This window comes from Homo sapiens, chromosome 17 (assembly GCF_000001405.40).
Source record: "Homo sapiens chromosome 17, GRCh38.p14 Primary Assembly".
Taxonomy (NCBI): Eukaryota; Metazoa; Chordata; class Mammalia; order Primates; family Hominidae; genus Homo; species Homo sapiens.
Genome location: NC_000017.11, coordinates 46,288,061 through 46,300,778, shown reverse-complemented (window position 1 = coordinate 46,300,778; position 12,718 = coordinate 46,288,061). Strand labels below are relative to the sequence as shown.

Genomic DNA, 12,718 nt, shown 5'->3' with positions numbered 1-12,718 from the left:
ATCTAAACATTCATCAATGGGGGAATTATTAAATAAACCATGATGCATCCATACTATGGATTATGCAGGAGTTTAAATGAATGGGGTGACCCTCTAAGTACTGGGAAGGAAAGAAATCTAAGGCATATCATGAAGTGAAAGAATCAAGTTGCAAGATGTTACCCTTTATGCGAAGAAAAAATTTTAAAACCACAAAACAAATCTATTTTGCTTTATGTAAATATGTATGTAGGTAAATGAGGAAAAGTCTGGAAGCATGTATACTAAATGCAGAGTAGCATTACTTCAGGGATGAGGGAGTAGGGCACAAGGAGAGTTTTTGTTATATCTGTTATTGCATTTTTATATATTAAAAATGGAATCATGGGCTGCGGGTGGTGGCTCATGCCTGTAATATGAACACTTTAAGAGGCCAAGGTGGGAGGATCACTTGAGCCCAGGAGTTCAAGACCAGCCTAAGCAGCATAGGAAGACCCTGTCTCTACAAAAAATACAAAATTAGGTGGGTGTGGTGGCATGCACCTGTGGTCCCAGCTACTGGGGAGGCTGAGGTGAGAGGATCACTTGGGCCTGGGAGGTGAAGGCTGCAGTGAGCTGTGATTGTGCCACTGCACTGCAGCCCAGAGGACAAAGTAAGACCCTGTCTCTGAAAAAAAAAACAAAAAAGAGAACAAAAAGGAATATAACCATGTACTATTTGTATGATAAAAAATAAATTTAAATTGCCTCTTATTTTAAAGAGAGCCTACCAAATTTAATTTTAAAATGACCATACAATTGCAATCAACAGTGGTTGATTTGGGGCATGGAGGAGAAATATCTTTCCTCAGAGGTACCGACCTCAAAATTCTGGACCAAGAAGGATCTTACAATGCAGTTAGCTTTTTGTCATATTTGGAGAGAATATACTCACAGTTTCTCAGTCCAACTGTATGCTTTCCATACATTTCCATCAATGTAAGAAATATAGTTTCCTTGGAAATTTCTGTGAAGAAACACAGTTTATATCCTTGAATAGGTAGGAAAACAATGAACACGATAAGTAAAAGAATCATTGCAACCTTGTTGGGGATATTCAGAAACAGAAAATAACACCTGCTTTCTCATTTCCAGAGCTATCAGCTTCCCAGTTTGCACAATTCATCAAGAAATTATGCGGGGTCACTGGCACAAATGATGAGGCATCTCCTGGAAGCTTAACTTCTTATCCATCCCATCTCTTGGACAGATGATGCCAGTTAATTACTTTGAATGTAAGTATTTTATCTAAAAGCACTTATGTGTCTAAACAGACTTCTACAAATCAGTACCAAAATGGTAAATAATTCCACAGAAATATGGGCAAAAGCTTATCATTATCAACAAATGAGAAGAAAGAAACCCTATGCCAGGTAACACCAAAGCTTTGGCCCAGTGCCCTCTGTTGAAACATCCTAGGCTTTTTCTTTCCACTCCTATTACAACTGATCTGATTTGGCCCCTTCACACTTCACTCCTAGATTTTGCTAGACCTTTCTATTTTGTCTCCCTGAATTAAGCTTTTCCTTTTGGACACTTTACATATGGATTCTAAAACAATCCTCTGCATGTCTACACTTGCACATAATGCAAAAAACAAAATAAAATAATCTTCCTGTTTTGATCATGTAATCTCTCTTGCTTGGAAACTTTCAATGGCTTTCCATACCTCACTGTGTAACTTTCAAACTCCTATAGCTGATAATCAAGGTTTTACAGAATCGTATCTTCATTGCTCCCTCACCTAATTCTTTGTAGCCACATTGGTCTACTAAATTCCAACCATACCTGTAGCCATGCGTTTGCCTAGACTGTACTCCCATTTTTCTTCTATTTAACAAATTATAGCTACTCTTTAAGACCCAAGTAAAGTTTTAGCTTACCCATGTAGCATCTCCACACCTCAAGGATCACAGATTCTGGCAAATTCTAGCACCAATGGTCTGCATTATCTTTTAGTACTTAATTATATATACCTCCCTTTTTATGCCTATTCTCTTTCTTCCCTCCTATCATTTTTTTTTTTTTTTTTTTTTTGAGATGGAGTCTTGCTCTGTCGCCCAGGCTGGAGTGCAGTGGTGCAATCTCGGCTCACTGCAAGCTCTGCCTCCCAGGTTCACGCCATTCTCCTGCCTCAGCCTCCCGAGTAGCTGGGACTCCAGGCACCCACCACCATGCCTGACTAATTTTTTTCTGTATTTTTAGTAGAGATGGGGTTTCACCATGTTAGCCAGGATGGTCTTGATCTCCTGACCTCATGATCCGCCCGCCTCGGCCTCCCAAAGTGCTGGGATTACAGGCGTGAGCCACCACACCCAGCCTCTTCCCTCCTATCATTTTCGTGTTCTGGAGACAGTAGCATACTTGGCCCTGGGTTTGACATAAAACTAGTTCTACATATAGAAAGCTAGGGACAAAAATGAGTTCTGGACAAAACTAAAGGACTGAATAATCATGTGAACAGCCAACTCTCCTACATATGGTAAGCACTGATGAAGTGTTTCATATATTCACTCACCTAAATTTCACAACAATCCTATGAAATGCTAACTAGCATGATCCCCAGTTTAAAGGTGAGGAAATTGAGTCACAGGCAGAATAACTTGCTCTGGGTCACCAAGCTAATAAATAGATCTGGGTTCAAACCCAGGCAGCCTGGCTCCGGAATCAACTCTTAACGACTTAGAGCATCATCATTGAGATCGGGAGAGGGACAGGCTGCTGTAAAGAGGGTGAAGCGAAAATGGGAGGAGAGCAGCGGTTAAGCAATGATGTGATGGGGCTAAATAAAAATGGATACAAAAACGAGTAAAAGACCAGAGTAAAAGGAAAAGACTGGAGAAGGGGCCTAACATTAAAAGAGAATGAGGAGAAGGGAGAGTTGACAAGCAAAGGTGAAAGCAGAAAGTCAGTTGTCCATATGGCTTGGGGAGATAAAGAAGGCCCAGGAAGGCCTCCAGGAAAAGGCTGCCATGTCAGGCAGGACACAGAGGACAATTGAGGAAAAGTGATTCTTACAAGATGGTGAAGGTGCCATTGTGGGTGTTGGGCTCTGGCACAGGCACTTGGCGGAGCCTCTGCTCTGGGTTGAGATCAATACATGACAACATCTCATCTCCGCAGGTACAGAGCTCACATATGTTGGTGCTTGTGGAGGCCTTGTGTTCCTCTGGTGCAGTTAAAGCCTTATTTTGGGTGTAACTTTCAGACTGCACCAGTGAATCCTGAGCAGGTTCTAGTTCAGTAGGTGGACCTGTGACTTCAGTCAGGCTTCGATGCAGAGTCTGAACCCGGTCTGGACGAGGAGCTGTAGTCTTCTCCAGGGCTGTAGAATGTCCAGTCTCTGTAGTGGGTTCTGGAATGATGGCAAGTCCCAGGTCTGGAGGCTGAGTTGAGGTCTCCTCCGTGGTTGGAGATGGTTTAACCTCTGTAGTAGGTTTTGTAGTTATGGTAAGCTCCAGGTCCAGAGGTTGAACGGTGGCTTGAGTCAGGTGTGAATGCTGAGCCTGACCCTTGTCTGAAGGTGGAAGTGTCACCTCAGGGTGTCCTGGAGGAGGAGCTGTAGTCATCAGGGCTGTAGAAGGTTCAACCTCTGTCATGGATTTTGGAGTGATGGTAAACCCCAGGTCCAAAGGTTGAACTGTGGCTCGAGTCAGGTGTGAATGCTGAGTCTGAACCTGGTCTGGATGTGGAAGTGTCACCTCAGGATGCTTTGGAGAAACTATAGTCCTCTTCGGGGGTGTAGAATGTCCAACCTCCGTAGTAGGTTCTGGAGTGATGGTAAGTCCCAGGTCCAAAAGTTGAACTGTAACGCTGGGTGACACTGGATGCTGAGCTTGATCCTGACCTGGTGTTGGATTTGTTACCCCTTGATATACTCGAAGTTGGGGTACAACTTTCTTAGGAGGCTGAGTTGGGGTCTCCTTCATGGTTGGAGAAAGTTCAACCTCTGTCTTGGATTCTGGAGTGATGGTAAACCCCAGATCCAAAGGTTGAACTGTGGCTTGAGTCAGGTGTGAATGCTCTGGAGGTTGAGCTACAACTACATTAGGGAACTCTGGAGTCTGAGCTGGGGCCTCCTGATGGGTTAGGGAAGACTCACCCTCCTCAGCGGTCTGTGGATGCTCAGCTGCAGCCTCCTGCTGGGTTGGAGAGGGGTTCTCATTATTAATAGGTTCCGGAGATTGAAATGAAGTCTCCTGTTGAACTGCTAAAGGTCCAGCTTCTTCTGATGACTCTGGAAGCAGAGGTGGGCCCCCGTGCTGGATGGCGGGAGGTTCTACATCATTACCTGACCCTGAGAGCCGAGTTGTAGCCTCCTGGTGGACTAGAGAAGTTCCCACCTCTGCACTAGGCTCTGCTGCTATGGTGAGCTGCACGTCTGGAGGCTTCACAGAGACACTGGGTGAAGCTAAATGATGAGTTTGATGGTGACCTGGAGGTGAAACTGTGACTTCATGATGTTCTGGAGGCTGACCTGGGGTCTCCTGCTGGGTCGGAGAAGATTCGACCTCCCTAGGAGACTCAGAAGGCTGAACTGGCTGCTGCTGCTCACTGATGGAAAGTTCATGCTCCATAGGAGGAACTGGAGGCTCAATTGGGGCCTCCTGTTGGGTTGCAGAAGGTTCCACCTCCTCTGGAAACTGAATTGGGGTCTCCTGCTGGGCTTGGGAAGATTCTGTCTCATTGGTAGGCTCTGAAGTTATGGTAACCTCCACATCTGCAGGTTTAACTGTAATGTTGGGCAAGTGATAATAAGCTTGATCCTCACCTGGAGGTTGAACTGACACCTCATGATTCGGTAGAGTTAGACTCTCCATAGAGGACTCTGGAGGCAGAGCTGGGGCCTCCTGCTGCATTGAAGAAGGTTCTTCCTCAAGGAGCTGTGGAAGCTGTGCTGGGGCTTCTTGCTGGAGTGAAGAGGACTGGATGTCTTCAAGGGTCTCTGGATTTTGAGTTTCGGGCTCTAGATGGAATTGAGAAGGTCCAACTTGCTCAGAGGGCCCTGGAGGCTCATCTGACTTCACCCGGAGTTCTGGAGGCAGGCTACCGGGATACGGTGTATCTGTACTGGAATATTCATTCTGCAAAGTCTGTTTCTGACTCTGAGGTGTGGATAATTGGCGTGTAATTCCAATAATCTCAGCAAGGCTCCAACGCTGAGCTGGATCTTTCTTCAGCTTCTTGGGCGAAACAGGGAGCCTTTCCTGTGGACTCAGCTTGTCCTTTAAATCCTGCTGTGAAGCCAAGAACTGCTCTGGCTCCAGGGGCTGCTCTCCAGCTGAATCCCAGGTGTCCAGGAATGGAACCAAATTTTCAGTCGATTCCTGGGGTGGGGCTGGCATCTCTGAGGAAGCAGAGGGCCCCAGGTGATCAAAGTCCCACGGGTCTGCTGGGAGAGTAGGCGCATGGGGAGATTCCCGTGGGAAATGGGAGGAGTGGGAAGACCAGGACTCAGGCGGCCCCAGGGGATTAGAGGTGAGCTGGAGCGGGTCCTTGACCCACTCCAGAGGCTGAGCCTCCTTGACTAGTAGCCACAATAGTTGCCACATAAGGAGGGGCCATGGGCCCCAGAAACGCAGCCGGGACATGACACACACTAGTGCCGGGCACTGAGCAGAAGACATTCTGGCAGCTCCGAGACGCTCGTGCCCCTTCTAAGCGTGAGCCCCGCCCTGTCTTTATGACACCTTTATTTATGTCACAGATCTGCTCCATGTCACCAGGGCACTCTTATGTCACAATCCCGCCCAAGCACGCCTTCCCATCCTGCCCTGCCGGAACACCCCTCTCCTCCCCTTAGTGAGGAAGGATTTGGGCCTCAGACCCTGGTGGTCCCAGGACTCCAGCGCCTGCTGTGGTGGGGTAGGGTGGGGTAGGGTGGGGTGGGGGCGCGGCAGAGCTTCCCAAGGAAGTCACCGGACCTCGCCTCAGGATATTCAGAAGTGCTAGTTCAGTTCTGGCAGCCTTCCTCCTTTAAGGTGAAATCCGAGAACACTCTTCCTTCCAGGGAGAGCAACTGACCTGCAAAATGGGCGCCAGGATGCACATTACAGTCACTTATTCCAAAGTGTTGCCATTTTCGCTAAACTGTCGCATGTTTGATAATTAATTCACCACCCTATTAGGTAGGGGCTGCCAGGGAATAAGCGAGGACTCCAAATTTTCTGTAGGAGGGGTGTTGGGAGTTGGCAATTCGGTCTGGGAGAGAAGGTTTTAATCCGAGTGAAGAGCCCTTTGCACTAGCCTGGGAGGAGGCTGAACTGTCATCCTGCCTTGACTCAACACAGCCATTCCCCTAGAAGTTACAGCACTTCTAGGGTCACCTGTGTTCAGAGATCTACCCTGTGTGCACACATGGAGAAGAGGCTTAGGTTGTTAAAGTCAGCATGTTAAATCATTTCCTGAAATGCGACTGTAACTAGAACCCAGCTGACTTCCCCCACAGCCGTTCTTACCTATTTTATTACTGTCTGGCATAATTACCAGCATGTAAACTCCAAGAAGGTGCTTCATCTTATTTTAGTGCTTGGCATAGACATAGGGTGCATAGTGATGGCTTTAAAATTGAAGGGGGGCCGGGTGTGGTGGCTCACACCCATAATCCCAGAACTTTGGGAGGCCGAGGTGGGGGGATCACTGAGGTCAGAAGTTCGAGACCAGCCTGACCAACATGGTGAAACTCCGTCTCTACTAAAAATACAAAATTAGCCAGGTGTGGTGGTGCATACCTGCAATCCCAGCTACTCAGGAGGCCAAAGCAGGAGAATCACTTGAACCTGGGAGGCAGAGGTTGCAGTGAGCCGAGATCGCAACATTGCACTTCAGCCTGGGCAACAAGAGAGAAACTCCATCTCAAAAAAATAAAATAAAATAAAATGGAAGAGAGTCCAAGATTCACCTCATTTAGGGATGGAGCTATCGTTATAATCAGATTTCTGAAATGAGTGCTGACTTCCTCTCACATTTCACAGGAAGCTAGACTTCTTAAAGCTTGAAGTCTCCTTGGTGGGTTTTATTTAAATTGAATTAAAATAATTATTTTACAGGGAAAAATTTCAAAACACTTTGCAACTTTGGGGTAAAAGTTAAATAAAACACTGTAGCCCCAAGTTAAGTTCCCACTGAAATGATACTTTTGCTCCTTTTTTTAAAAAAAATTCCATAAATAGTAAATAATGACTGTTTTGAGATTAATTTAGAAACAATCTCTATTTAAGAGCTTTCATATGCAGTCATGCATTGCTTGCCACGTGAGGAGCTTGAGAAATGTGTCACTAGGTGATTTCACCATTGTGCTAATATCATAGCGTATACTTACACAAACCTAGGTGGTGTAGCCACCATACCTAGGGTACACGGTATGGCTTAGGACTCCTAGGCTACAAACCTGTACTGTATGTTACTGTACTGAATACTAAAGGCAACTGTCACAGAATGGCAGGTATTTGTGTATGTAAACATGGAAAATATATAGTTAAAATACTGTGTAAAAGATAAAAATGGGGCCTGGGCACAGTGGCTCATGCCTGTAATCCCAGCACTTTGGGACGCCAAGGTGGGTGGATCACTTGAGCTCAGGAGTTCAAGACCAGCCTGGCCAACATGATGAAACCCCATCTCTACTAAAAATACAAAAATTAGCTGAGTGTGGTGACGCGTGTCTATAATCCCAGCTACTCAGGAGGCTGAGGTAGGAGAATCACTTGAACCTGGGAGGTGGAGGTTGCAATGAGCTGGGATCATACCACTGCACTCCAGCCTGGACAACAGAGCGAGACTCCATCTCAAAAAAAAAAAAAAAAAAAAAAAAAAGATAAAAATGGTATACCTATATAGGGATAGCTCCATTATACGCTTACAGAACCACCATCATATATGTGGTCTACTGTTGACCCAAACTTCATTTTGCAGCACATGATTGTAAATGATTGACAGAAAGATCTTCGGCAAAATATTCCACCCAAGATACGTGGGAGATATTGAGATCCAAGCAATAAGCCATATTTGAAAGGCATTATAGTTTTCGAAAGCTGTAGCGCAATCATTCTTAAGGCCAGTTACCTTCTCCCCACATCTCTGGGATCCTGTTTGAAGGGAGTTCTAACAAGGCCTGTGTTCGAGCAGCCCAGCATCCCTTACTCCTGGAGCGGGGGGAGACTAACCCCTCTCCTGTGTCCACAACTGTAGTAATACAATCCTCGGTTCTGCTCTCCAAACTTCAAATAAGGGGTCAGAGCCAAGGGTTAAGACTTTAGGAAAAGCCCCGGAAATACCCTGCACTCAAAAAGCAGTTTCAGAGTTTCACATTTTCCTGAGAATGAAACAAATTATCCTCCAAATTCTGCTGCTTGTTTTGAATTATGGTTATACTGGCAATGTTATCCAACCCTTGAGTTGTTTTCCTTTTCTTTTTTTTTTTTTTCCTCGAGAGAGTGTCTTGCTCTGTCACCCAGGCTGGAATGCAGTGGCATGATCTCGGCTCACTGCAACCTCCGCCTCCTGGGTTCAAGTGGTTTTCATGCCTCAGTTTCCCAAGTAGCTGGGATTACAGGTGCCCACCACCACACCCAGCCAATTTTTGTATTTTTAGTAGAGACGGGGTTTCACCATGTTAGCCAAGCTGGTCTTGAACTCCTGACCTCAAGTGATCCTCCCTCCTCAGCCTCTCAAAGTGCTGGGATTGCAGGTGTGAGCCACTGGGCCTGGCCTGTCAAATTGCTCTATAATTTCATTTGGAGTGAATTCAGATTAGACCATTGATTTTATTGGCTTTTTTTTTTTTTTTTTTGCTTTTTGAGAAGCAGGGCCTTATTCTTTTTCCTAGGCTGGAGTGCAGCGGTGCAATCACACCCCATCGCAGCCTCCCCCTACCCAGATCAGTAAGTCCTTCCGCCTCAGGTTCCCAAGTATCTGGGACTACAGGCGCGTGCCATGCCACCATCTCTGGCTAATTTTGGGGTGTTTTTTGTTGTTATTGTTGTTGTCATTGTTTTTTTGTAGAGACAAGGTTTTGCCATGTTGCCCAGGCTGGTCTCAAACTCCCGGGCTCAAGCAAGTGATCCTCCTTCCTCGACTTCCCAAAGTGCTGGGATTATAGGCATGAGCCACCGTATGGGCCCTGGTTGTCTTTTTTTCATATTACACATTTTCATTTTCAAACATTTGAATTTTGCAAGCTTATTTTGAGTGAGAGGAGTGTTGTTTTCTTCTCTCCTGAAGCCCAGTGTAGCCCAGTCAACCCTTAACTTCCAGCAGGGAGCCTATCACTGCCTCACACACAGCATGTTAGCCTCCCTTACCCCCGAGAAACTCTTACTGTTAGTGTTCAGCCACCACTTCCTCCTTCTGCATCTGGAGTCTAGAAGGCCTGCAGTTTTAGTCCTGCTCACAGTTTTGTGTCTGTTCCATTGAGATTGTTGTAACTTATTTAAGCATGACTATGTCTTTTCAATTTCTCTTTTTTATATTTTACTCTCACTTGTATGTTCTTGAAGGGAGAGGGAGGATCAAAGTGTGCACCCGCTATACCATCTTGGTTCTCCCAAAATCCGTCCCACGATGTTATAAAAATATATGAACTAGGAAATGAAACTCAAGGTTTTCTTTCTAACCAAAGAAGAAGTTCAGTCTCTCTCTATAAATAGAGAAGGGCTGTTGAATAATTTGTCACATTGCTTCTCTTTTGACTTTATGAGACTAGATAGTCTATAGACAGAGAAGCAGATTCATTAAACCAGGGCCATTCAGGTTTATTTGGTAAAATATTTGTGATATATTTAAAAGCTTCCTGAGGTAGTCATGTAATGATTGGTGCATAGGGCTGGGTTACCCTGCAGAAAAAGAGGCACAGCAAACTTATTTCAGGTACAGATGGACCTTACCTTTAGGCAAATCCTTGAAATTTTGGCGTGGGGAATCAGGTTTTCCTGTGGGTTTTTTGTTTGTTTTTGGCTTTTCATAGACATCTATATGAAGTCTCTGCTTTAGAATCTATAAAACTATAGCTTCAGAGGCTGGGCGCAATGGCTCATGCCTATAATCCCAGCACTTTGGGAGGCTGAGGTGAAACGATCACTTGAGGTCAGGAGTTCGAGACCAGCCTGGCTAACAGGGCGAAACCCCGTCTGTACTAAAAATGCAAAAATTAGCCAGGCATGGTGGCAGGCACCTGTAATCCCAGCTGCCTGGGAGGCTGAGGGAGGAGAATCACTTGAACCCAGAAGGCGGAGGTTGCAGTGAGCCGAGATCATGCCACTGCACGACAGAGCGAGACTCCATCTCGAAACAAAAAACTGTAGCTTCAGAGATTCACTTAAATTATCATTTATAGGCCAAGAGAGTTGTGGCTCACAGCCTGTAATCCCAGCATTCTAAAAGGCTGAGGTGGGTGGATCACTTGAGGCCAGGATTTTGAGACCAGCCTGGGCAACATGGCAAAACCCTGTTTCTACAAAAAGGAATTTGCTGGGTGTTGTGATGCACACCTGTAGTCTCAGCTACTTGGCGAGGCTGAGGCCAGGGGACTGCTTGACCCCAGGAGGTCGACCCTGCAGTGAGCCATGATAGCACCACTGTACTCTAGCCGGGGCGATCAAGTGAGGCCCTGTCTCCAAAAAAAAGTTTTGTTTTGTTTTGTTTTAAGACAGGGTCTCACTTTGTCATCTACATTGCAGCACAGTGGTGCCATCACAGCTCACTGAAGTCTTCACCTCTCAGGCTTAAAGGAGCCTCCAACCTCAGCCTTCCAAGTAGTTGGCACTACAGGCATGCGCCACCACACCTGGCTCATTTTTGTATTTTTAGTAGAGATGGGGTTTCACCATGTGGCCAGGCTGCTCTTGAGCTCCTGGACGCAAGTGATCTTCCGCCCTCGGCCTCCCAAACTGCTGGGATTACAGGTGTGAGCCAGTGTGCTGGATGAATTTTTTCAAAGAAGGAAAAATAAAATTAATTCGGCCCTTCATTAAAAAAATTAAAAACTCTTTAAAGGAAACGTGGGCTAAGTTATTTTTCTGAGAGACTATAAGATTTAGGAAGAAAAATAATCATGATGAAACGTTTTGGGAATATTTTTGGTATTTAAAATTATTGTAGAAATTTATAAATGTGTCAGATTTTGGCTGGGCACAGTGGCTCACACTTGTAATCCAAGCACTTTGGGAGGCCAAGGTGGGCAGACCACCTGAGGTCAGGAGTTCGAGACCAGCCTAGCCAACATGGTGAAACCCTATCTCTAAAAGAATTTTTTAAAAAAATTTTAAGTCAGATTTTAAGAAATATTCTTATGGCTGGGTACAAGTGGCTCATAACTGTCATCCCAGCACTTTGGGAGGCAAAGGCAGGCAGATCACTTGAGCTCAGGAGGTAAGTTACCTGGGCAACACAGCAAGACTCCATCTCTACAAAAAAAAAAGTAGCTGGGCATGGTGGTGAGCACCTGTAGCTATTTGAAGGGGTTGAGGCAGGAGGATCACTTGAGCCTGGCAGGTCAAGGCTATAGCAAGCCGTGTTTATGTCACTGCAGTCCAGGCAGGGTGACAAAGTGAGACTCTTATCTCCAAATAAGAAAGAAACCCTCTTGGTCATAGATATGATTTCTTTACACCAAATTTGTTCGTGGATGCCAATCACAATGGGTTTGTCCCTAGGGTAATATAGTTTGCTTTGATCATTTCCAAGAGTAAGTTGTACTACAGGATAGCAGAAGAGATGCACTTAAAAAGTATGGCAAAATGCATATTGAGACAATAGTATGTTGGCCAGACACAGAGACTCACGCTTGTAATCCCAGCACTTTGGGAGGCTGAGATGGGTCACCTGAGGTCAGGAGTTCAAGGCTAGCCTGGCCAACATGGTGAAACCCTGTCTCTAACAAAAATACAAAAAATTAGCTGAGCTTGGTGGCACGTGCCTGTGGTCCTAGGTACTTGGGAGGCTGAGGTGGGAGGATCACTTGAGCCTGGGAGGTGCAGGGTACACTGAGCCGAGATTGTGCCACTGCACTCTAACCTGGGTGACAGAGTGAGACCCAGTCTCAAAAAAAAAAAAAAAGAAAAAACAAGATGCAGTAAAGAAGCCGACCAAAACCAAGATGGTGACGAAAGTGACCTCTGGTCGTCCTCACTGCTCATTAAAACTTTTTTTAAAAAATATGAAAAGAGGCTGGGCCCTGTGGCTCACACCTGTAATCTCAGGACTTTGGGAGGCCAAGGCAGGTGGATCGCCTGAAGTCAGGAGTTTGAGACCAGCCTGGCCAACGTGGCACAACCAAAAATGCAAAAATTAGCCAGATGTGGTGGCACACACCTGTAATCCCAGCTACTTGGGAAGCTGAGGCAAGAGAATTGCTTGAAGCCAGGAGACAGAGGTTGCAGTGAGCCGAGATCATGCCACTGTACTCCAGCCTGGGAGACAGAGCAAGGCTCCGTCAAAAAAAAAAAAAAAAAAAAAAAGCCGGGCCTGGTGGTGCACATCTGTAGTCCCAGCTACTCGGGAGGCTGAGGTGGGAGGATCATGTGAGCCTGGGAGGTCCAGGCTGCAGGGGGCCGTGATCCTGCCCCTGCCCTGCAGCCTGGGTTATACAGCGAGACAAAAGAAAAAAGTTAGTGGTAACAGGATAAACTACATAGCCATGTATTATTCCTTCACATTCATGAAGCAGGTCAATTTGAAGCTTGAGGACGACTTCCATTCCTCT

The 12,718-nt window shown here is 45.8% G+C and overlaps 2 protein-coding genes across 14 annotated transcripts in view, besides 1 other annotated feature; one reads left to right on the top strand and one right to left on the bottom strand.

Moving 5' to 3' along the window:
- LRRC37A (leucine rich repeat containing 37A) overlaps nucleotides 1-12,718 on the bottom strand; it is an 89,751-nt gene that overhangs the window by 37,016 nt on the left and 40,017 nt on the right. For 9 of the 12 annotated variants that reach the window (NM_014834.4, XM_047437196.1, XM_047437197.1 and 6 more), the window contains exons 1-2: nucleotides 3,037-5,648; nucleotides 914-985 (exon numbers count right to left, since the gene is read on the bottom strand). In NM_014834.4, the coding sequence (NP_055649.4) occupies nucleotides 914-985; nucleotides 3,037-5,645 (2,681 nt within the window). In that variant the 5' untranslated portion in view covers nucleotides 5,646-5,648. Of the gene's footprint in view, nucleotides 1-913; nucleotides 986-3,036; nucleotides 5,649-5,942; nucleotides 6,043-6,749; nucleotides 6,790-12,718 lie in introns of those variants that run through there. The other 3 variants (XM_047437200.1, XM_047437206.1, XM_047437205.1) reach the window with 3 other exon arrangements.
- ARL17B (ARF like GTPase 17B) overlaps nucleotides 1-12,718 on the top strand; it is an 87,604-nt gene that overhangs the window by 61,009 nt on the left and 13,877 nt on the right. For both annotated transcript variants that reach the window (NM_001103154.2, NM_001352769.1), the window contains exon 4: nucleotides 1,114-1,253. In NM_001103154.2, the coding sequence (NP_001096624.1) occupies nucleotides 1,114-1,232 (119 nt within the window). In that variant the 3' untranslated portion in view covers nucleotides 1,233-1,253. The remainder of the gene's footprint in view (nucleotides 1-1,113; nucleotides 1,254-12,718) is intronic.
- Nucleotides 12,115-12,615: an enhancer, noted in NCBI's record as "H3K27ac hESC enhancer chr17:44365530-44366030 (GRCh37/hg19 assembly coordinates)". NCBI's record gives its function as "activates a minimal SCP1, AML or CMV promoter by ChIP-STARR-seq in primed H9 embryonic stem cells {active_cell/tissue: H9 hESC(primed)}" and the evidence as "EXISTENCE:reporter gene assay evidence [ECO:0000049][PMID:30033119]".